Below are 25375 nucleotides of genomic sequence, written 5' to 3'. Positions count from 1 at the left end.
CTTCCCATTCTTGCAGTGTCAACCGACTGCGCTAGGAGGCGTGCCGCGGAGTCCTATTCTGAGACAGACGCCAGGTGGCTACCCATTGCCAGGCAGCAAGGCCGGAGGACGCCGTGCAGCACGGTGCTGTTGTTCGTTTGTCGGGGTGCAGGAGTGATGGGTTGGCCTTGTCTGCTCTTGCGGGAGGCAGCGGGTGTTTCTATATATCCGATTCCATTTGACAAAAAATGTCGAGTACTAGAAATCACTGTACTAAGTATTGACACAAAGTTGAGTTCACTGTAGAGTAGAGGCAGTGGACAAGACAACGGAGAATCAGGATAAAAAGCGTGGTACCTATATGATAGTGATGGCATGAAGTGTGCTGGAATTACGGAGGAAGGGGGAAGAGAGTGTCCAGAAGTCTTCCTGAAAAAGTGGATTCCTGGACTGAACCCTTAAAAGATGGTAGACTTTACCTAGGCAGAGAGGAAGGTGCTGTGAAGAAGGGAAAACGCACTGTGGCTGCAGAGTAAAGGGTGCTGATTAGAGGTGATGCTGTAGAGGTAAACAGAGGCAACCCGGTCAAGACATCTGGGCTTCCTGAAAACAGCAAGGAACCACTGAAGGATCTTAAGCAGGATTTGTCATGTATCTTTTTCACCAAACTGCAAATTCCAGGAGCCCAGTAGCAGTGTCTCTTTTTTCTTCTTCACATTATTTATCCAGGGCCTAACCCAGTGCATGATACATAGAAAATGCTCGGTAAACATCTGAAGAATAAATGGGATGATCAGATATGCAGAAACATCACTTGTCAATAATGTGAAAAACGTGTGAGAAATAAATGCTGAAAAAATTAAAACAGTAGCCACGGAGAAAGGCACAGATTAAAGAGATTCTGTTTTAAGGGATGATGCCTTTGATGAGCAGAAGTTATCAATGATAACTCCATAAATTTGACCTGGGGAAGAGTGCATATTACTATTCTGCACCTAATAGAGGAAATTCAGGTAGAGAGCAGTTAGGGAGTCAGAAAAAGATAATATTATGCTGAGCTTATATTTCTTGGGAAACTTCCAACTCTCCCACCCACGTTCTTCTGGCCACTGTTCTTTGACTTCAGAGGTATTTCATTACCTTAACTCCTCTTCATCGTTATCTAATGGATTGCTGCTATACTCACCTAACACTTTGGCTTGGTAAAACTGGCAGTGTCCAGCTCGTGATGGGCTTAGTTGCATTATCACTAGAGTTACATTGCCAGACTCTTAGTCTCTGCTGGACTCAGTGCATGCCAGGGGCTGCTTTTCAAATTACTTACTGTCAAAGGAATTGCCTTGTTCCAGATCCCTGAGGTTCTGCACTGTGATTCACCTGTTAGGGTTGCTTAAGACTTCACACAGCATCTTTATCTTCCAGGGACACTAGCAGCATTGGATCTGCTGAGACACAAGGCCGGACAGCAAGACAGTTTGCATCCCAGCAGGGACTTGCTGCAGAGCACTGTCTTGCTAGGGATACACTCAAATTGGTAGCTTTCCATACCACCCAATAAATGTGTTGAAGCTGTATTCCCAAGTGTATATTCTATCTCCAAAAGCCAAAGAGGCCCAGTAGGTTCTCTGCCATTTTGCTGTGAATAGGAATTGCAAGATGCAATAACTTGTCTTTCACCTTACAGAGGTTGTCCTAGCACACCCCAGACCTTTAGACCCATAAAACCCTTACAAATGTAGGACTCTAATTTGTAGAGTTAAACTGTACATTTTAACTTCCACCGTCTGGTTTATATGGTTTATACAGTTTAACCTACACCGTCTGGTATGGATGTACCTATCATGGTATTGAGGGCAGCATGTCTCAGAGGTGCATAAAAACACCTGGGGAATATGAAATGCAGATTTTGATTCAATAAGTCTGAGACAGAGCCCAAGATTGGGCATCACTGGTTCTAATTTTTTAATCTTCCCTTTACCCACATCCTTTGCCATATGACTTTGAAGTTTTACAAAGTTCTGTCCATCCTCATTATTTATGGGTTTTGCATTTTGAACCTGCCTACTTGCTAAAATTTATTGGTAATTCCCAAATCTATACTCACAAAGTTGTCGTGGTCACTCACAAATATTCACAGGATGACAAAAAATTGTAGTTCCCAGCCAAGGTTGAGCAAGGTGATACTCTGCCTTCTTCTTGCAGCTCTTATACTGGAAACGAGAGTCCTCTTGATGGTCTATTTAATGCTCATTTTCCCATTTTTGAGATTTTTGTCAGTGAATTCAATGTTTAAAATGGCCCCCAAGCATCGTGCTCAACTGCTATTTAGTAATCCCAAGCCCAAGGAGGCTTTCATGTGCCTTACAGAGAAAATACACATATTAGATAAGGTTTGTTCAGGTTTTCACTTACAGTGCTGTTGGCTGTAGTTCAATGCTAATGAATCAACAATATATATTACATAAGGTGTTTTTAAACAGAAATACACATAAAACAAGGTTATGTATTGATTAGCTAATGAAAATATTGTGACCACAGGCTCACAGGAACCTAACCTGTATTTCCCCTAGAAGCAACGATTTAGTATTTGCTAATTCAGTGTTCACGGCAACTTTATAGATCATCAACTAAAACATTGTACATCCCCTTCTTGTGAGTATGCACAATATCATCACAGGAGAAGATTTTCTTAAATATTTTACAGTTTTCAATTAAATATAGTGGCATGCCTATGCACAGTGTCATAGTGTCATGCCACTTATTTACATAAATCCATGCACTTTTAGTATCTTTAGCATTGACAGTATAATTTTGATGGTTGTCAAAGGATATAAAGGTTTATCGCTATTTCCTACTTGACTAAGCATATAGTTACATTTTGCAGCAACTGCTGAATCATACATCTTTGGAAATTTAATAGCTTCTATTCAAAGACAAGCAGGAAGTTTTTGACAAATTAATGTTTGATGCCTTAACAAGAGTACTTGTGACTCAAAAAACTGTTCTCTCATCCTAATACATTTTTTTCTTATATTCTGAGGGATTTGGTGATTTCTCCAACCTTAAACTGAAATAAGCAACTTGAGTAACTTATCTACTCAAAGCTATCCACCTTTTTTAGGAATTGTAAATTATTTGGTTACTTTGCAAGAATACATGGAATTGTGGCTATTCCTCCAATAGTCCATATTTGCCTCACCAGTGCAAGTTTGCAACCTGTTGTTCTGTTCATGCTTATTTCCATACCCAGTAACTTTTTGTTTTGCCAAATTACAGCATAGCCTTTTAAAAGACATTTTAAATGTCAATGTTTTAAAATTTTATTTTTCAATTTTTGGGGATACTTGGTAGGTATATATATTGAAATGGGTACATGAAATGCTTTGGTATAGGCATACAGAGTGAAATAAGTACATCATGGAGAATGGGGTATCCATCCCCTCAAGCATTTATCCTTTGAGTTACAAACACTCCAATTATACTCCTTAAGTTATTTTTAAAATGTACAATTATTATTGACTATAGTCACCCTATTGTGCTATAAATGGCAATTAACCATAGTAAATATAGAGCAAACAATATTCATAACTCTATAGAAGTGTAGAAGAGCTATGAAGAAGTTCATGCATGCACCTGCAAAAACAACTGAGTCACGACTACTACCCTGATTAACTATCACTTTAAGAAGCCATCTGAGGCTGGGCTCGGTGGCTGACACCTGTAATCCCAACATTCAGGGAGGCCGAGGCGGGCAGATCATGAGGTCAGGAGATCTAGACCATCCTGGCTAACATGGTGAAACCCGGTCTCTACTAAAAATACAGAAAATTAACCAGGCGTGGTGGCGGGCGTCTGTAGTCCCATTACTCGGGAGCCTGAGGCAGGAGAATGGTGTGAACCGAGGAGGCGGAGCTCGCAGTGAGCAGAGATAGCGCCACCGCCACGGCACTCCAGCCTGGGTGACAGAGCAAGACTCCATCTCAAAAAAAAAAAGAGAAAAAGAAAAAGAAACCATCTGATGTAATGGTCACTATAATTCCTGATGTAAATGTGAAAAAATACATGTCTAAGAATTGATGAAATTTGCTATTTGTACAACACCTGACTTAAGTTTGTCATCACAGTTGTAACCAGCCCAGGGAATCTTTCACGTTCAGGCCCCACCTAACTGCCCCTAGGGCTGTGGGGTTGGGCGGGGTCAGTCTCTCTGTATACCTGTAACTCATTCATGGCACTTCACTTTGACTACTCACCATCTTATATTACTTATCTTAATAGCAGTATGTCCAGCTTCCTTCCTGCTGCATGGGTTTGTACCCATCATCTGCCTTGAATGTATGTTGTATTGCCAAACTATCATTCCTAAACGTGGCCTTTTGGCAGTGCTTGAAAACATACCAATGCCTTACGTAATTAGGCCTTGTCCTCAGAATGAACTCATTCTCCACACTTGATCAGAAATCATGACTATCTAGCTGTGTTTCTCTAAACCAGGCACTTTACCTACTTAAGTCTTGTTTTTTGTTTTTTTTTTTTTTTTGGAGACAGAGTCTTGCTTGGTCGCCCAGGCTGGAGTGCAATGGAGCGATCTTGGCTCATGGCAACCTCCGCCTCCCAGGTTCAAGCAATTCTAGTGCCTCAGCCTCCCAAACAGACGTGCACCACCAAATTTTTTGTATTTTATTTTATTTTATTTTATTTTATTTCTGAGACAAAGTCTCATTCTGTTGCCTAGGAGTGCAGTAGCGCGATCTCTGCTCACTGCAACCTCTGCCTCCTGAGTTCAAGTGATTCTCCTGTCTCAGCCTCCAGATTAGCTGGGATCACAGGTGTGTGCCACCACACCCGGCTAATTTTTGTATTGTTAGTAAAGACAGGGTTTCACCATGTTGGCCAGGTTGGTCTCGAACTCCTGACCTCAAGTGATGCACCCACCTCAGCCTCCCAAAGTGCTGGGATTACACCATGTGAGCCACCATGCCTGGCTGGTCTCACTTTTTTTAACACTAGACTCTTCAACCTTTAAGCCGAAGGTTGAAAACTATGTCTTGAAGTTTTCAAATGTGTGAAGTAGACAGGAGAAATGAAAGAGTGATGTAAGGACTGTGACAACTGGAAGGCATAAAACTTTTCTAAGTGCATTCTCATTCGGAGTTTCTGATATAGATTGTTTTTTGTTTTGTTTTGTTTTTCAATCATGTGAGTAGGCCAAATTTGGCCTAAAGGCTAAAAATTTTAAGTCCCACTTTAAACTCTAAAACTTCCATGATTATAGGATTAGTGATCATGCTTATTCCCGGTTCTGCATCTTACTGATGCTGCTTGATGATTACCCCACCTCCCCCCCACCCACCACCACCACAACACACACAGAATCACTCATCTTCTTGAATAACCTGGAGTACAAATAAAACAGTCAATTAGCAGAAAGTAGCTGAGGAGCATTTCAGCAGATACACTGGGAGTCAGGAATCTCTCCAGAGCTCTCTGAAATTAGATTGCAAATTGTAAATTAATACCAGACTGCTTTAAGTTTTACTTATTAGCTAGGTGCTGTTGCTTACCATTCCTGAACTTCAGTTTTCTCACCTTTAAAATAGAGATAATGTATGATCTACATAACCTATAGGCTTCTTTGGAGTATTGAATATCGTGCTGATGACAATAGCATCTAGGATTTATCAGCACTTACTATGTTCAGAACCTTTGTTACATGCTTTACATACAAGATCTCATTTATCCCTTAATAAAAACCTTGTGGGACAAATATTGATAGCTCTATTTTTACAGCTAAGAAAGCTGATGCTCAGAAAAGCCAACTTGAATGATATCACACAGCTGAGTGGTAGAAGAGGGCTTTAGATTCAGGCCTAGGTGACTGTCAAGATCGCAGCACTCATTGTTATGCTCTACTCTGTCAAATTCCTACTGCTGCTATAACAAATTACCATACATTTAGTGGCTTAAAACAACACAAATTTGTATCTTATGGTCTGAAGTTCAAAAGTCTGAAATGGGGCTCACTGGGCTAAAATCACAATGTTGACAGGGCTGTGTTCCTTCTGGAAACTATTTGGGAGATATAAGGGAGAGTCCATTTTCTTTCCTATTCCAGCTGTTTTTTTTCTTTCCAACTTATATTAGGTTAAGGGGATACATGTATAGGTTTGTTACATGGGTAAATTGTGTGTCAGGGGGGCTCAGCATACAGATTATTTCAACACCCAGGTAATGAGCATAGTACCAGATAGGTCATTTTTCAATCCTCGCCTTCCTCCCACTCTCTACCCTCAAGTAGGCCCCAGTGTGTGTTCCTTTCTTTATGTTCATGTATACTCAGTGTTTAGCTCCCACTTATAAGTGAGAACATGTATTTGTTTTTCTGTTTCTGCATTAATGTGCTTAGGATAATGGCCTTCAGCCCCATCCATGTTGCTGCAAAGGACATGATTTTGTTCTCTTTTATGGCTGTGTAGTATACCATGGTGTATATGTACATTTTCTTTATCCAGGTACACCACTGATGGGCATCTAGGTTGATTCCATGTCTTTGCTAATGTGCCCATTCTAGCTTCTAGAAGCAGCCTTCCTTCTTTGGCTCTTGGCCTCCATCTGTCTTCAAAATCAGCAAAGGCTGGCTGAGTCTCTCACATGGAATCTATCACTCTAACACTCCCTCTCTGTCTCTGACTCTAACTCCTCTGCCTCTACCTTTCATCTTTAAGGACCCTGTGAATACACTGGACTCATCTGAGGAATCCAAGAAACTGTCCTCCTTTTAAAGTCAGCTAATTAGCAACCTTAATTCCCCCTTTTTATGTAATTGTGAAAATTGTAAGAATCATAATGGAGTCACTTGTGTTAAAAAGAAAAAAAAGGGCTGGGTGCAGTCACTCACGCCTGTAATCCCAGTACTTTGGGAGGCTAAGGTAGGTGGATCACCTGAGGTCAGGAGTTCGAGACCAGACTGACCAACATGGTGAAACCCTGTCTCTACTAAAAATACAAAATTAGCTGGGCATGGTGGCGCATGCCTGTAATCCCAGCTACTTGAGAGGCTAAGGCAGGAGAATCACTTAAGCTCAGGAGGCAGAAGTTGCAGTAAGCTGAGAACGCACCATTGCACTCCAGCCTGGGCAACAAGAGTGAAACTCTGTATCAAAAAAAAAAAAAAAAGGAAAGAAAGAAAAAGAAACCTTGACAAATAGAGCTGGGGAAGGCCATGAGACAGCTTTCATGCATAAATGCCAGATAACAAAAACCATCACAAAAGACTCTGCCAATACCACAACCTTGCACAAAGGCCATTGCACCCTTACACAAAAAATACTTTTGCAAGGTCATCTGCCCAGCAACTGCCTGTCCAGCTAATGACTGGCATCACCCTTGTTATTAATACTTGTAGGCAAGGAAAATTATCACAAAACAATTATGTAATCATCCTCATTTTTCCATTAAAAACCTTTGTCTTCCTTTACCTCCTTGAATATGCACATAGTTTACTATGGCATATGTATTTCTGCTGCAATGCCCTATGCGCAAATAAATATTTTCTTTTAGAGAGCCTCTGTCTGTTATTTAAACATGCACCATAACATATTCATAAATTCTGGGGATTAGAAAGTAACATATTTGGGGGGCCATTATTCTGCATACCATATCCATTGACTACACAGGATAGTGTATTGTAATACAGTATAGTAAATATGTTGAGTGCACATTTATTTTGTTTCCCTAGTATATTTGCACCCAAGCTTTGTTGCCTCATTCTCACCTCCATCTTCTCTAGAGCATGGCTTTTCACCCCTTTTACTTCCAGTGACTCTACCAATCACACAACTCTACGCCTTATGAACACAGCAGGCAACATGGGCAAAAATAGTAACACATCACTCCAGACCCGTATTGGTCCAAGCAGATCAACTAGAGTCCTTCTCTGAGAATTGAGATGAACGGGCAGCTTCCTCTTTCTCCTTGGATCATGAGTCATAAGGCTGTGAACCCAGAGATGTTGGTGGTCATATGTCTATATATACACACTACTCTCCAACAATGTATGGAGAAGCTGAAGAGACCGAAGCCAGCAGTCAAGCAGAAGGCCATACCACAACTGAGAAGTGGAGATGGGGCACTTTTGCTATTCACATCTCACAATTCTGTTGACCCTGAAGCTGCTACCACTACATTTCAAAGGCTGCCTCTGTGAGACAATAATTTCTGCTACTTTGCTTAGGCTAGCTCAAGTTAGAATTTCAGTTGACCCTTGAACAACATGGGTTTGAACTGTGCTGGTGAGATTTTTTTTAAAACCAACCACAGATCAAAGCTGCTATACTCCCAGGATGCTAAACCGACAAATAGGGAGGCAGAATTTTCCTATACTCAAGTTCAGCAGGACAGACTGTATGTAGGACTTGAGTATATGCAGATTTTGGTACATTGTCATCTCCCTTAATTGGTCCTGGAACCAATCTCCTAAGTACACTGAGGGACAACTGCATATCTCTTGGCACAAAAAAGTCTTAAAATAAATACTTAAATTGAAGCATTGCCTGCTTCATGAGTACCAATTTCGTTTTTTACATTACACCATAATGCTCATGAGATCAGAGTTTATGCCATAGTTCTATGGATTTCTTCCTATGCATGTGATAGTACTAGGCTTACTGTAAGAGCTCCAAAAATATTTTCTGACATATGTTCTACTTATATGTCATTATGTAAAAATAAAACAAAATTATACTCATGCATTTTTAATATTAGCATTTTTTGACTCTATTGATAACATCTGTATTTTCCAACTGCGAAGTTTGTGTAAGTGATCTCTTGTAAGATGGAGGTCTGAAACATAAACAGTTTATCACGTGTTGCTGGAGTAACAATTGGCAGAGATTGCCCTAAACTCTAATGACATTTTACTCTCCCCAAATCAGATCGATAGGTTTTTGAAGTGCACTCATGTTGAATTAGAACAATAATAAACAGTTTTTAAAGAAATGCATGAAAAATACAAAGAAATAACAAAAAATACCTTTTAAAATACACATCTTTTCACCTTTTTGAAGCATTTTTACAAAGTTAAGGGGTGTGTGTCTGTGTGTGTGTGTGTGTGTGTGTGTGTGGGTGTGTGTGTGTGTGTGTATTTACCACCCCCTCACCATGATGACAACAAGAACTGAAGAAAAAGATTTCCTGGGGCTGGGCATGGTGACTCACACCTGTAATCCCAGCACTTTGGGAGGCTGAGGCGGGCAGATTGCCTGAGCTCAGGAGTTCGAGACCAGCCTGGGCAACACGTTGAAACCCCATCTCTACTAAAATACAAAAAAATAGCTGGGCATGGTGGCATGCGCCTGTAATCCCAGCTACTTGGGAGGCTGAGTCAGTAGAAGCGCTTGAACCCGGGAGTTGGAGGTTGCAGTGAGGTGAGATCACGCCACTGCACTCCAGCCTGGGCAACAGAGTGAGACTCTGTCTCAAAAAAAAAAAAAAAAAAAGATTTCCTTGCAAAAAGAACCGACACACTGACCAGCTGGATGCACAGCAGTGTTCTGTGTTTTCATCTGACTTCCTTAGAGAAGAAATCGTCTGATTCATTCAGGGACTATCCTCCCAAGCTAATTAGTACATTTAATCACGTCCAATAACCTTGAGTCAGTGGGGGGTTTTTTTGTTTGTTTTTTGGTTTTTTGGCCTAGTTTCCGAGTGCTACATGCCAGGGACATTTTTAGGTGCTTAACATGCATTAACTAATGTAATTCTCCAACAACCCTATGAGGGTATTTAAGGTAAGCATTATTCTAAAAATGCCCTCCTCCAAAGATTTCCATCCTGATTACTCATTGAAACACTAATTTAGGTACTGATCTGAAGGGACTTTATAAATATAATTAAAATTTATGTACCTTAAGATAGAAAGAGGCCAGGCACAGTGGCTCACGTCTGTAATCCCAGCACTTTGGGAGGCCAAGGCCCGAGGTGGGTGGATTACGTGAGGACAGGAGTTCCAGATCAACCTGCCCAATATGGAGAGACCCCATCTCTACTAAAAATATGAAAATTAGCCAGGCATGGTGATGCATGTCTGCAATCTCAGCTACTCAAAAAGGCTGAGGCAGGAGAATTGTTTGAACCTGGGAGGCAGAGGTTGCAATGAGCTTAGATTGCACCACTGCACTCCAGTCTGGGTGACAGAGTGAGTGTCTTTTTTTGAGACTCTGTCTCAAAAAAAAAAAAAGTTAATTGTTTGGTTATATTTGATCTAATAATTTTTTAGGCCCCTAGAAACAGAGAATTTTTTCAGGCTAGAGTCAGAGAGATGTGGCAAAAGAAGGAACAGGAACAGGAGAGATCATACAGAAAGGGAGATCAGAGAGATTTAAAGTGTGAGGAGGACTTGACCTGCCCTTCCTGGCTTTGAAGGTGGAGGAAGGAGCCACAAGCCAAGGAATGCAGATGGCCTCTAGGAGCTGGGAGTCCCCATCTAAAAGCCAGCAAGGAAACTGCACAGAACTGAGCTCTGCCAACAACCTGAATTGAGGCTGAAAGCAGATCCCACCCCTGTCCCCCACCCAAACCCCACCACCCCGGAACCTTCATTGAGGAACACAGTCCTGCTGACCGTTTACCGGTGCAGTTCTAGATTAGAGGAGACTAAAGAGACATGATCACCAAATTCAAGGCGGCCCTTGATTAGATTCTAGTTGTGGATGGGGTAGGGAATAACTTTAAAGAATATTGTTTAAACAAGTGGGGAAATTTTAATTTGACTTATTTATTAGAGAATAGTATTTTATCAATATTAAATTTCCTGAATGTGATAGTTGAATTGTGGTTATTTAGAAGAATGCCCTAGTTCTTAGGAGACAACATGCTCAAGCATTTAGGAGTGAAGTATCATCCTTAATACAAGCCGAGATAAAGCAAATATGTACAATGCGAACAGTTGGTGAATCTAGATGAAGGGTATACAGGTGTTCATTGAATTATTTTTTGCAATTTTTCTGAAAAAAATAAATTTTTCAAAATACAAAGTTGGCGGGGAAAAAACATCACTGTGGATACTTCCTGTAGGATGGATTTGAGGTCAATAGGAAAGAGGTGGGAAGACAAGATGGGAAGGTATTCCGCAGCCAGACTGAGGGCTGGGATTCAAGAGGAACAGCAGGGATAATGGAAAGCATGCCCCGCCCACAGCTAGGCCAGCGAAGCAGCTCATCCTATAACTGTGGTTCCCACAGCCTTCCCTTGCAGGACAAACTCCCATGTGCCGGGGGTGCGGTCGCCCAGCGCCTTCCGAATTTGGTTGGGATTGAGGAGCCGCGCAGCGGGATGCTGTGCCCCGCCCCGCTCCAGTCTGGAAGAGCCCACGTGTCACTGTTAGATGGGGGAAGCGGCATCCTAAATTTAATTAGCGCTTCTCTTCTCAAAGTATCTCCCAAATCTTTGGCCTTTTTCCATAAAATAATTTTCTTTTAGCTCAATGTCTCCTAAGATATATGTTGAATTAAGAAAAAATATGAGTCACATAAAGATGCTTTTTTCAGCTTCCCCTGCTACGTCCGCCCCATGCGCCAGGCCGCTAGGGGCAGGACGTGGAAGCGGAAGCGCTGGTCTGGGGGCGTTCTCTCGAGTCCGGGCCGCAAGTCCCAGACGCTGCCCATGGAGGCGTCCAGCGAGCCGCCGCTGGATGCTAAGTCCGATGTGAGTTCCAACCTGGAAGGAGAGTGGGCAGCGAGGCTCTGGAGCAAGAAAGATGTTTCTCTAAATTGTGTTTCTGCTTCCGTTTCAGGTCACCAACCAGGTGGGTGAGCGGCCGCCCCGCCCTGTCCTCCGCCAGCCTGCCTCCCACGGCCGCGAGGCCGTGCCACCCTGAGCCTTCCCCAGGTCTCCCCTAGTCCTGTGTCCGCGAGCCGGTGACCTTCAGCCGTCCCTCTTGCATTGCTCCTTCTCTTTTGCACCTGAGCCGGTAGCCGTTGCCATTGTAATGAAAGCTCCTCTTCCCCACCCTGCACTAGCCCGAAGAATGCAGATCAAGGATTGTTGGGCTTTGATTAGGCGACAGTTATTCGAAGCCAGGAACACGGTATTTTAAAGTGTTGGATAAAGAAGTTAGGAAAATTTGCAGAGATAGCACCGCAAACATTTTCTTAGTCTCTAAGTTATTTTTGAAGATGGAGTATAGCATTTTAGCCTTTTAGAGTATGCATTTATAATGCTAGGAATATGAATTTGACTTTTAAAGTATATCTTAGCCCCATTTCTGTTTCAAGTGCTGCTGTGCTGTTGTAGCCAATAAACTATTTGTAGGCAAATAATTTATAACACACTTCCCAGAATAGGAGTACTAAAACTAGAGTATTTTTAGGCCAGGAGTTACCCAAGTCCATACAAAATGTAAGAAAGGGATGAGGTAAGAAATAATTAGAATACAGGGGCTGAAAGAGGTGTCCATTGACTGCTGTCTGTCATTTTTCTCTAACTGATCTTGCTTTCGAGGATTCCTGGGAAGTAGGGGAAGTCAGAGAGCTGTCAACCGTCTACCTGGCTTTGCTTAGTTATATGATTTAGTGCATTTCGAGTCAATCTTTCATAAGTCATTTTATCCATTCTCTTACGTTAAGTTTTGTATTTAAGATATTCTGAAACAGAATTATACTAATTATGGGGTTTTTAAAGTTGAACTCTTTTTGGCTTAAACACAAATTTATTATCTTATAGTTCTGGAGGTCAGAAGTCCTAAACTAGTCTTACGGTGCTAAAAGCAAGGTGTCTGCAGGGCTTTGTTCCTTCTGAGGCGGTAGGGGAGAATGTTTCCTCCTTAGCTTGTGGCCTCTGCTTCCATCTTCAAAGCACATCATTCCAGCCTCTGCTTCCGTTGTCACATTGCCTTCTCTGACTCTGACCCTTTTTCCTCCCTCTTATAAGGACCCTTTCAATTACATTAGGCCCACCTGGATAATCCAGGAAAATCTCCACATCTCCAAGTCCTTAATTTTGTCACATCTACCAATACTGTTTTGTTGCCTAAGGTAACATATTCATAGATTTTGAGGATTAGCATGTGGACATATTTGGGAGGGCCATTATTCAGCCTACTGCACATCCTTCTATGCAGTCATTCACAGATTATATGATTGTTTGCATAGGAAAAGCCAAGATCATTTACAAACATTATTAGAATTAATGTGAGAGTCAGCAAGGTGATTCCATTGTTGAACGTTCTTTAGTTCAGACATAAAGAGTTGGAAAATATAATTTTAAAGATGTCATTTATAACATGAAGAAATTACAGGCCAGCCATGGTGGCTCATGACTGTAAGCTCAGGGCTTTGGGAGGATTGCTTAAGGCCAGCAGTTTGAGACCAGCATGGGCAACATAGCAAGACCTTATCTCTATAAAAATAAAAAAATTAATCAGGTGTGGAGGCACAGACCTGTAGTACTAGCTACTCAGGAGGCTGAGAAGAGAAGATCTCTTGAGCCCAGGAGTTTGAGGCAGCAGTGAGCTGTGATTACACCACAGCAGTCCAGCCTGAGTGACAGAGTGAGACTCCATCTCTTAAAAAAAAAAAATTACGGAGTATCTTGCAAGAAATCTAATAAAAGATATTTAAAAGTTTTATGAAGAAAATTACAAAAAGCGGTAGACTTTTACTTTGTGATCCAGCGCATGAGGAGCTTGGAAGTCACCACCTGTCCTAGCAACAAGGAAAAACTGAACAAACTGAAAAATCAACAACTCCTCTTGGATCTGTCAGAGAAGCGAGGTCACAGGGCAAATTGCTGTCCCCCAAATTGGTGAGACAGACTGCGAATACAGAGAACCACAGCTTAGAGCAGAAGCTCCACAGAAACCAGTGCCTAAACTGAAATCGACAAATTACTGGAGGCTCCCAACTCTCCCTCACACCTGACATACAATCAGATCAGCATATTGTTTTCTCTCACTCTAAATTCACCTCCTCTTGCTGCCACCTGGGTCCAAGCCGCCATTCTCTTTCCTGGAATACCGCAGTAGCCTTGTAACAGGGTCTTCCAACTTCCTTAAACTTTGTGCCTCACCTGGCGGTCTGGATGAGCCTTTTGCAATGTAAGTTAGACCAGGTATCTCCGCTACTCAGAGCTTTTTAAGAGATTCTTGTCACACTGGAAAAAAGTCGTAGGTATTTACTGTGGCCTACAGGGCCCTTCGAAGATGGATTCCTCATCTCTTACCACTCTTCCTAGCTCATGCCCCTCCAGCCACCTGGGCCTCATTGTTCCCTGAACACGCCAAGCATGCTTCTCCCTCAGTCCAGAATGCTCTTTTCTCCAGGTCCTGTGGCTTTTTCTTCATTTTATTCGAGTCTCTTTCTGTTCAAAAGCCGCATGAAAGAGGTCGTCCCAGGTTATATCTAAATAGCCTTTCTTGTCACTCTGTCACCTTACCCTGCATTTCGTCACGCTATAATACTACCATTACATTATATTTTTGTTTATTGTCTGCCTTCCCCACTAGAATTCTGAAGGTCAGGAACTATTTTTTACATCCCTAATTCCTAGAATATAGTATTGCTTAGTATATACTGAATAGTGAGGCCTCCCTCTCTTACTCAAAACACATAGGAATTACCAGTTTTATCTATATAGACAGTTTTTATAGTCATGTTTTTATATTACTAGTAACTTCAGCCTCCACATCAATTTTTAGTGTGACTACAGCTAATTTGTGTGTTTACCTTTTTATATATTTACTTTCTGATTATTCTTTATATTCATTTTACTTCTGGATGTTTTTATATTTCCTTTTTTACTACTAGCTTTTTGTTTCTTTGTATGTTTTCCTTTTTTAATACTTCATCATACAATGATTTTGGGGCTACCGCACATTGTTTCATTCTTAACATTCTGCATAGTGGTAAGTGCTCTCTGTTCTGATTTTTTCTTTTATATTCTTTTATTTTTAAAATCTGTGCAGTTCACTCCTACTTAAGGTGAAACCACACTTATTAGAAGGTTTGCTTTCAGTTTGCATTTAACTGTTGAGGTTAGAATTTTGGAAACTCTCATCTCATAAACCTAGTCTTAGCTTTCTTTCAATTGTGAAGACTGACTTTGCACAGTGTCTTGATGGCAGCTCTCCGTTTCCTCACCTGACAATTTCACTGTTTTAATAGTGAGTGGAACTTAGCATTGCACGCCTTCATTGCTTTTCTGCTTGAAATCTTCTAGTTTTATTTCAGATTCTGAGAAACAAATAGGCAACCCTTTACTCTGCCACTTTAATGTTGATGGTAAAAGTGGAACTTCTTCCATCAAGGAGTTGTACAGGCTAAATACTGTTAAGAATAAGAAATTGCTTACTTATTTCATACTCAAACATTTAGGGGAGGGAAGCCCAGGTAGAAGAATCGCTTGAGCCCAGGAGGTCTAGGCTGCAGTGAGTCACATTCATGCCACTGCACTCCAGCCTGAGCAACAGACTGAGATCCTGTCTGGAAAAAAAAAAGAAGGAAAATGAATTCTTGGTTTAGTTTTTGGACATCACTATTGAACTGGAATTAAAACTCTCTCTACTCATGAACTCTCCTGAATTCTGTTCTTGGATTTTTAGCCACTTTCTGAACATTCCTATAGAGATAACCCTAGTATCATCTCTTAATGATACTTTTGGACTGGATACCTCAGCATTCTCCCAGTTATCCAAGCTCAATTTTTTATAATTTTCTATAAACAACTATAGTTGTATCTTGTAGGCAATCATCAAGACCTAGCAATGCATCCTTCATATGATCAGTTTAGTCCTGCTTGTCACCAACTTAGTTCAGGCACTTACATAACTTCAGACTTGGATTATTGTGTTCTGCTGCCACCAGAAGAATATCTCTCTCTCTCTCTTTTTTTTTTTTTTTTTTCAGATTTGGGGTCTCGCTCTGTTGCCCAGGCTGGAGTGCAGTGGCATGCTCACAGCTCACTGCATCCTTGACCTCCTGGGCTTAGGTGATCCTCCCACTTCATCCTCCCAAGTAGCTGGGACTTAAAGGCATGCCCTACCACACCTGGCTACTTTTTGTACTTTTGTATTTTTTGTAGAGACAGGGCTGTTGCCCAGGCTGGTCTGGAACCCCTGCACTCAAGTGATCCACCTGCCTTGGCCTCCCAAAGTGCTGGGATTACAGGTGTGAGCCACCGTGCCCAGCCTGAATATCCATTAATCAATATTTTGATATCATTCTCTCTATTGAAAAACTTTCGGCCGGGTGCGATGGCTCCCGCCTGTAATCCCAGCACTTTGGGAGGCTGAGGCAGGGCGGATCACGAGGTCAGGAGATTGAGACCACCCTGGCTAACATGGTGAAACCCTGTCTCTACTAAAAATACAAAAAAATTAGCCCGTCATGGTGGCGGGCGCCTGTAGTCCCAGCTACTCGGGTGGCTGAGGCAGGAGAATGGCGTGAACCCGGGAGGCAGAGCTTGCAGTAAGCCAAGATCGTGCCACTGCACTCCAGCCTGAGCAACAGAGCGAGACTCCATCTCAAAAAAAAAAAAAAACAAAACAAAAACTTTCAGTGAGTTGAGTCCCCAATGCCTACAGGGAAAGTTTAAGTGAGTTAATGTGGTAAGTTCTCCATAGTAAGATAAAGGATATAAAAGTACTGTGAAAACCTCTGAAAGCTCAATTTGCAAGGAATTACTGGCTTTTTGATCACTTGTCAACTTTATTTTTCATATTTGCTTACAAAAGCCATCTACTTTAAGACAGATAAATTAAGACTACAGGCGTGTGCCACCACACCCGGCTAATTTTTTGTATTTTTGGTAGAGATGGGGTTTCACTGTGTTAGCCAGGATGATTCTGATCTCCTGACCTCGTGATCCGCCCACCTCGGCCTCCCAAAGTGCTGGGATTACAGGCGTGAGCCACCGCACCCAGCAAGACAGATAAAATGTTCTATCCCTAAACCAAATTTCGACTCTTTTCATCTGTAATTGGTTCCGCCCAATATTTATTAAGCATTTATTCTTTGCTAGGTGTGCATTTATGGTATGTATAAATAAAACACATTTTCCTCAATTCCTGTTCTGTTTATTCTTCAAAATGGAGCTTAAAGCCTTCTGTAAAGCTTTCCCTTAACTCCCTAGGCTACAATAAACTCTTCCTTTCAACCAGAAATGTAGTCACTGACTTACATTGCTCTCTCTGGACTATATATGCAAAAAGTGCACAAAATATGGACAGTTAATGAATTATCTAAAAGCGAACACTCGTGTAACCACAAGCAAAAGTCAATAAATGGAGTGTTACCAGTCCCCCAGAAGCCCACCAGATGCTCCTCTTCAATCAATGCCCACTTCTCTCCACCCCAAAAGGATAGGCATATTCTCTTTATAGTTTTACCACCTGTTTCTCAAGTTTAAGTGAACTGAATCATAACTTTTGGACTTGTTTTAAATATTTTTGGTTTTACGTGTAATTGAAGTTCATTTTCATTGCTGTATAGCATTTCATTTATCCATTTTATTTCTGTTGAACATTTGGGTTTTCAGTTTAGGGCTATTATGAATAAAGCTGCTGGGGACATTTTCATATATGTATCCTGTGTACATATTCAAAAAGTTTTTCTAAGTTCTATCCCTAGTAGAATTTGGATCACAGTATGCAGAGCTTCAGTTTTACTAGCTAAAGTCAGCTCTTTGATAGATTGGCCCAGTTTACACTTTCACCAACAGCATGTGACACTTCCCATTGCCTCACATCCTTCCTTGCCAATACTTGGAATTTTCAGACTTAAATTTTTGCCATTTTGGTAGCTGTGTAGTGGTATCTAATTGTGGCTTTTAATTCCTTGTTTCTTAAGGTGAGCACATTTTCATATGTTTATTAGAAATTTGTAGTTATTTTGTGATTTGCCTTTCTATTTTTATATGGAGAACTTTTCTTTAAAATGAATTTATTCAATCTTCTTATAAAAGATGTTAACCTTTTGTCAGCACTAGCTTGGACTTAATGCTGTAGGAGATTGGTGCAAAGAAAGTCTGAGATAGGAGGAATTTTTGGTCCCCCTTTTATAAAAATGGGAGATTTACAAATGCCTTCCCCTATTCCATACCCCAAAAGTCCTAAAATAGAAAATGGGTTATATAACTTTTATGGTTGATTGAGGCACACTTGGGAACCATTCTATTTCTTTACCTCACCATAGTCCTCAAGCTCAAATATTTCATTAGTGTAAATAGTGATAAGGTGGTTTGGATTTCATCATTGTTCATGATGGATATGTGGTAGGATACGTGGTGGGATTTACAAAAATCCTAACTTTTCCAAGAAGAAATGTATTAACAAGTGAAGTTTTTTGCCCAGTGAGCATTAGTTTTGTAGAAAAAGGTATCAGTCAGTGAGCAAGTACTTTTTGAGTGGCTGCTATGTACCAGGCTATGCTTTGGAAACAAGACAGACAGTATTTACCCCTGTGTTTTATGTTTTAGAGTTATGTGCCTTAATATGAGGCAGTATTAACAGCTGCATGTTTTATGCCATGGCATCATTTAACAATCATTGACAGGAATTAGATTAAAAGTATTAAGACAACCAGTAGTCACTAAGCATGTAATCTTTGGAGTCAAACAGACTTTGGCTTCAGTTCTGATTCCAGAAATGTGTGACTTTATGCACATTACCTAAGCTCTCTGAAGTTGGCTTTTGTCATCTGCAAAGTGGAAACAATAACCTATAGTGTTATGTTGATTCAGTGAGGTATGTAATACATGTAAACTGCATAGCACATCACCCAGGGTATGTATCTGTCATGAACAATGATGAAATCCAAAACCACCTTATCACTATACATGCTAATGTAAGTCTTGAGCATGGAACAGCAAAGTGAACTAAAAGATACTCCAAGCCTGTTAAAGGAAACCAATACTGCCACATCTTCCTTCCACTTCCGTTATACATTGGAGGGGAGATTTTTTTTTTTCACTTTTTGTTTTTTCCATTTTAAACTATGATGGTGTTTTTTAACTGTTTATATCCCTTATAACCTCTCCATTTTTTCATTTGATTATTGTTCCTCTAGCAGTATTAAAATGAAGATACTTTATGTAAATATGACCAGCGTTGAAACTAAAAGTTGAGTGTAACTGCAGTAAAATTGAATAAATATCTGCATTCCAGGTAATGTTACTACTAATGTATTATTTTGTCCTGTCTTATTAAAGCTTGTAGATTTTCAGTGGAAACTGGGTATGGCTGTGAGCTCAGACACTTGCAGATCTCTTAAGTATCCTTACGTTGCAGTGATGCTAAAAGTGGCAGATCATTCAGGCCAAGTAAAGACCAAGTGCTTTGAAATGACGATTCCACAGTTTCAGGTTTGTGATTTAACTCATCCAGTTTTAGCTCAGCTTTTCTGTAATCATTGCATAAAAAGATGTATAAAATCTTTCTACGGGAAAACTTTAATGGTTTTTATTTGTAGATTGATATGCTTTACGTTTACTAGTAGTATATGCAAGAGACATTAATTTGTCTTCTTTGGGAATTTGATAAATTATTTTCAATATAATGTGCTGAAGTTGTGTACTGCGCCATTTGATCGCTTGAACAGTACTCCTCTCTGAGTATATTTAGGAAAGTTTTATCTTCAATGGCAGGATATTTACTTTGCATTTAAATGTTTTATTCTTATTCCTTTGGGCTTAATATTCAAGAATGTTAAGCTAAATGAATCTTTGAATAGTGTTGACCCTGAATTTTCTGACTGATAATGTTTACAAAAGACAGGTCAGAGCAAGTGTACCTCTTGGCTGGCTTTATCAGCTAGGGACTTAAGTAACTCAGTAGTTTAGAGTGATGTTACCATATTATCATTCTACCTCTTTTCTGTAACCAAGGAGGAATAAAAGGTGGGGGGGAGGTGGGAATAAATCAGGTTTTCTTTTTTTTTTTTTTTTTTTTTTTTTTTGAGACGGAGTCTCGCTCTGTTGCCCAGGCTGGAGTGCAGTGGCACGATCTTGGCTCACTGCAAGCTCTGCCTCCTGGGTTCACGCCATTCTCCTGCCTCAGCCTCCCGAGTAGCTGGGACTACAGGCGCCCACCACCATGCCTGGCTAATTTATTTGTATTTTTAGTAGAGATGGGGTTTCACCATGTTAGCCAGGATGGTCTCGATCTCCTGACCTTGTGATCCACCCACCTTGGCCTCCCAAAGTGCCAGGATTACAGGCGTGAGCCACCGGGCCCGGCCAGGTTTTCTTTTAAATGTACATACTGGAGATGTTTTGTCATTAATTTAACTGTCCTGTACAGTTTTGTTTTTGTTTGGTTTGTTCCTTTTGGTATGAATAGGTAGGAATCTATTCTTAGCACTTACACTAGTACGAAGTTAGTACTTACACTTAGTACTTAAACAGCAGTTAGTACTCTAAAAGTCAGAGAAAGCAACCATCGTGAATGAAATGGAAATAAAAAGTGATTCTTTGTAAAACTAACTAAAATTATATTGGTCCTAGGCTTCCTTTTAAAGAAAACCCTTTCATATACCACTTTATGATACTTTTGATTTCTGCTTTTATAAACTACATTTTAAATAATTTGTTTCCCTTTCATTTCTTTTTTTTTTTCTTTTTTTTTGGGACACAGTTTCACTCTTTTTGGCCAGGCTGGATGCAATTGCAGTGCAATGGTATGATCTAGGCTCACTGCAACCTCTGCCTCCTGGGTTCAAGCGATGCTCCTGCCTCAGCTTCCTGAGTAGCTGGGATTACAGGCACGCAGCACCACGCCCAGCTAATTTTTGTATTTTTAGTAGAGATGAGGTTTCACCATGTTGGCCAGGCTGGTCTGAAACTCCTGACCTCAGTTGATCCATCCACTTCTGAAACTCCTGACCTCAGTTGATCCGTCCACTTTAGCCTCCCAAAGTGCTGGAATTACAGGCGTGAGCCACCATGCTCAGCCTGATTTCTTTATTTAAAATAGATATCCGTGCTTTGAAACAAAAATAATGTTCACAAATTTAACATTATTAATATTGATTAGTGTCTTGGAACTGAGACTTAGTGAAAAGGAAATAAATGTATATTGTGATATGGGAATAACATTCAACTAAATATGAGGACTCAGTCAATTTCGAAAGAGAATACACGTTTTGGTCTTTTTTGTAATTCACAGTGCTGGCCTAATTGTTATTATTCTGTGCAGCATTTGTGCTGTCCTGATTCCACCTCTAGAAATTTTTTCCTATAGGAAAAAAAAAATCACAATTGGATTAACTTTTTTTCCCCAGCTTTATTGAGGTACAGTTGACAAAATTGTGTATTTTGAAGGTTTCACAATGTGATGATATGATAAAAGATATACATTGTGTAAAGATTACCACAGTCACTCTAATTAACACATCCACCCCCACACAGTTACCTTTTTTTTTTTTGGAGAGAGTGTGTGCATGTATGTGTGTGTGTGTGTGTGTGTGTGTGTGTGTGCTGAGGGCATGTAAAATGTTTTTTAGCAAATTTCAAGTAAACAATAACAATATTACTGTAGTCACCATATTGTACATTAGATCTCAGACTTACTCATTTTGTAACCAAAAGTTTGTACCTTTTTACTAACATTTCCCCATTGACCCCCAGCCTCAGCTCCTGGCAACCTCCAGTCTCCTTTCTGCTTCTGTGAGTTTGACTTTTTTAGATTCCACATATAAGTGAGATCACGCAGTATTAGCCTTTCTGTGTCTGGCTTATTTCACTTTGCACAATGTCCTCCAGGTTCATCCATGTTGTTGCAAATGGCAGGATTTCCTTCTTTTTTATGGCTGTGTGATATTCCATTGTGTGTGTATGTATACACATACATAGTATATACATATAGACATACATTATAATCATATTAAATATAAATATACACAAAAACATTTTCATTAGAGGCAACTCTTTTAAAGAGAGTTTTTACATGGCTTAAAACTAACCACGAGATAGCCTGTTAATCACATTACATGACTGAGAGCTAAGGAACATTCTTTGAGCTTTTAATTTATATCTTTTTGATAACTAAAATTTTGAACATCAGTACATATTTTTAAAGAAATAGTTACACTTTGCTTCATTCTGTGACAAATTTGCATATAAATTAAAACAATACAAATCCTCTTAAGTAGCAAAATAGAAAATTAAGACCAAATAAGAAGGAAAATGCAGATGTGTAAATCATTAGAAGGTACCCTGATTGCCAAGGTTAAGTTTCAAATTTGTCTCCTAGCTTCCTGGGGTAGGTACAGGAGAAGACAGAAGAACAATTTGCTTGATTCCTTTCTTACCTGAGATTTAAAAGAAGATGACTTCTATAGGAGAACCGTTATACCAGCTTAATTTTTAAATGACAGAGAAATAAACTTCTACCATATAAACCATAGTTAATGTTGGATCTCTCTTCTAGTAATTGAACCCATAATCTTAAATGAGATAGCCCTTACCACACTGAAATGCGGTCCTTTACTAGATTGAAAGTGTTTTGAGGCCTGGAACCAACTTGTTATTTTTGCTTTTATTTTCAGTGTCTAGGACAGTGCTGAGTATTTAATAAATCTGGTGTGATCTTAAAAGGACTTTCTCATGTGCTTTTTGAAAAGTTTAGTCATAAGATAATTATCCAACCCCACAGTAGTATTTTTGCTTGCAGTACCAAATTGCACCTATTTCTTACAGCAACCTTCAGTAATTGAGAATGTAACACTAAAATGCAAACTTAATATGTTATATAGTCTCCGGTAGTCAGATATAATTAAAATAACTACTTAAATATCTTCTAAAAGCAAAATTAATATTATTTTCCCCCTTTCTCTCCAGAATTTCTACAGACAGTTCAAGGAAATTGCTGCAGTTATTGAAACGGTGTGAAGACGGATTCTTTGGTTGATAAATTGCTATCATTCTAAAGTCATGGACTTCACTTTCGGCAACAAAACTAAATAAGGATGGAACATTTATTGAATGAAAAATGCACTTTTGTTTTTCCATTTTTTTAAATAATAAAAATCAGACAAACAGGAACTGGGTAGTGGTGATGAATGCAAAACTTTGTGAATGTGCTTTATAAAAGTGATAATTAGACACTTTAGAGGATATACTTGGTGATAATGTGAATGATGTAATCAGACTAACAGTTGAATCATTGCTGTTGGAGGCAGCACAAATTTATGTGTTACAACAGTAGTTTAAAAACTTGTACTGGATGGAACCCATTTTATAAACAGTCTTATTTGGAGTCATGTATATAAAAATATATATAAATTAGAAAAGTAGTATTTGATTAGGATAACTTTACAAATTCAATAGTATAGCCATCACTTATTATAATGGCAATCAGAAGAGTGAGGCTTCTTTTTTCAAACTTTTGTAATCAGATTAAGATTGACCATTGCTCCTTTACACAGTATTAGTCTAGCATTCAATTATTTCTGTTATTAATGGTTGTAGAAAGTTCAAATACATACGCAGAGTTGGAAAGACGAGTTTTAGTCTGAGTTCTGTACGACGGAGTTAACCCGTTAGCACAAGTTATTGCATTAGATGATCTCTGTTGAATTTAAATACATAAACCTGTTGTTAAACGCTTTTATACTATAAAGCCACCACATTGTATGGCATTTGTTTAGAAGTAAGCAAATAGACCACCGGAATAGAATAGATGGCCTAGAAATAGATCAAGACATTCTGGTCCGCCATATTAGAAATTTAAACCCTCTTCACACCCTGTCTGCATTTCTGCAGGTCTGTGTGAGTCCACTTTCTTTTTTGTTCCCTGCTAGGTAGCACACAGCTGTGAGGAGCCCAGGACTGCTGCCTGCCGCAGCCCACCTGTGCGCTCAGATTCCTACCAGCTTGATGAGTTAGCTGATGGGCCATTTGTGCATACCAACTACCCACAGACATTTCTATTACCCACCCTCTGGATGCCAGTGCATTAATGATTCTAGAATTAGGAGAAACCAAAGATCCCTTCTCTCTCCCTCCCACAACCAGTGTCGTCGTGTTCCTAGAAATAAGAGTAGAAACCCCTCTATCTGGGTTAAAACAGCAAACCTGCCTTCTGTAACTGTGCATGAGGTTCCTCTGTCTCCCACTTACTTCGGATTAACACCTTCCTCTTTCCCCTTCCCTGTTTGCAGGGTAGCATTTCTAGGTTTAAGGCAATATGCAAAAAGACCCAAAGTTAGGCCCTGGCTCAAACACTGTGGGTAGCAGATTTGAAATAAATTTAAATTGCATGTTTGTCTTTTGAATTTAAAAAGCAAGTTTTAACCTTGCACAGTGGCTCCCTTCTGTAATCCCAGCATTTTGGGAGGCTGAGGTGGGCAGATCACTTGAGGCCAGGAATTCAAGACCAGCTTGGCCAACATGGCAAAACCCCATCTTTACAAAAAATACAAAAATTAGCCAGGTATGATGGCACATACCTATAATCCCAGCTACTCGGGAGGCTGAGGCAAGAGAATTGTTTGAACCCGGGAGGCAGAGGTCACAGTAAGCCAAGATCGCATCATTGCACTCCAGCCTGGGTGACAGAGTGACACTCTCCCCCCCCAAAAAAAAATAAAAATAAAAAGCAAGATTTTTTCATACTGTAGTTTTACACGATTTTTATTACAAATGTCTAGTTTTGCTTTATTAAGCACTTAATCAGCTTTACTGGGCTGGCCTGGGAATTAACCATTGTTAACATTTCTGTGGAAAAGGGTGTTTCAAGTTTCAAACAGTTGACTTAAATGTAAACTTTTAGAAAACAACTCATTCTCAAATTGGAAACTATTAATACGCTTTTAAGTTTTCAAAAGGAAATAGATTGCCCCCACCCTGAATTCATCAAGCAAAACCCAAGTCTTTTCATGTATTCCACTACCAAGACATGTTGACATAAGTATCAGTTTTATATAGAAAGAAGGCAAAATTCACAAGGTACTTAAGCAGAATTGTCTTTTCAAACAATTTCTTTTTTTTTTTTTTTTTTTTTTTTTTTTTTTTTTTTTTTTGAGACGGAGTCTCCCTCTGTCTCCCGGTCTGGAGTGCAGTGGTGTGATCTCAGCTCACTGCAACCTCTGCCTCCCGGGTTCAAGCTATGCTCCAGCCTCAGCCTCCGGAGTAGCTGGGATTACAGTGTGCGCCACTGCGTTTGGCTAATTTTTGTATTTTTAGTAGAGACAGGGTTTCACCATATTGGCCAGGCTGATCTCAAACTCCTGACCTCAGGTGATCCGCCCATCTTGGCCTCCCAAAGTGCTGGGATTACAGGCATGAGCCACTGCACCGGGCCTTTCCAAACAAATTTTTAAAAATCTTTTGTACCTTATGTTTTTTACAACTTCATAAAAGTTTTAAATTTATAGAAAAATTGTGGAAATAGTAGAGCTCCCATATT

General features: G+C 40.0%; 1 protein-coding gene across 5 annotated transcripts, besides 2 other annotated features; it reads left to right on the top strand.

The window, feature by feature from the left end:
- Positions 1–6: 6 nt before the first annotated feature.
- COMMD6 (COMM domain containing 6) lies at positions 7–24232 on the top strand. Of its 5 annotated transcripts, NM_203497.4 has the most exons (5): positions 11605–11682; positions 11771–11782; positions 19180–19332; positions 21595–21633; positions 22807–24232. In NM_203497.4, exons 1-5 carry the CDS (start codon positions 11641–11643, stop codon positions 22855–22857), a joined length of 297 nt encoding a protein of 98 aa, NP_987093.1. In that variant the 5' UTR covers positions 11605–11640; the 3' UTR covers positions 22858–24232. The 5 variants fall into 5 exon arrangements, with proteins under 5 accessions (NP_001274323.1, NP_987093.1, NP_987091.1 ...); NM_203495.4 differs by lacking the exon at positions 21595–21633; NM_001287393.2 differs by lacking the exon at positions 21595–21633 and having other exon boundaries at positions 11771–11947.
- Positions 141–210: an enhancer, noted in NCBI's record as "active region_7830". NCBI's record gives its function as "activates an Ori minimal core promoter by ATAC-STARR-seq in GM12878 lymphoblastoid cells {active_cell/tissue: GM12878}" and the evidence as "EXISTENCE:reporter gene assay evidence [ECO:0000049][PMID:35858748]".
- Positions 11484–11563: an enhancer, noted in NCBI's record as "active region_7829". NCBI's record gives its function as "activates an Ori minimal core promoter by ATAC-STARR-seq in GM12878 lymphoblastoid cells {active_cell/tissue: GM12878}" and the evidence as "EXISTENCE:reporter gene assay evidence [ECO:0000049][PMID:35858748]".
- Positions 24233–25375: the final 1143 nt, after the last annotated feature.

Source organism: Homo sapiens, chromosome 13 (genome assembly GCF_000001405.40).
Source record: "Homo sapiens chromosome 13, GRCh38.p14 Primary Assembly".
In the NCBI taxonomy this organism is placed as follows: Eukaryota; Metazoa; Chordata; class Mammalia; order Primates; family Hominidae; genus Homo; species Homo sapiens.
Note: the sequence above shows the minus strand (reverse complement) of the source record. Positions and strands in the feature narration are given on the sequence as shown.

Bases quoted from the DNA above. Each gene is read 5' to 3' on its own strand.
- COMMD6 (NM_203497.4), top strand. From the start codon at position 11,641: ATGGAGGCGTCCAGCGAGCCGCCGCTGGATGCTAAGTCCGAT. The intron at 19,333-21,594 runs GTTTGTGATTTA...ATTGACCCCCAG, and splicing joins TGACGATTCCACAGTTTCAG to CCTCAGCTCCTGGCAACCTC. The intron at 21,634-22,806 runs GTGAGTTTGACT...CTTTCTCTCCAG, and splicing joins CCAGTCTCCTTTCTGCTTCT to AATTTCTACAGACAGTTCAA.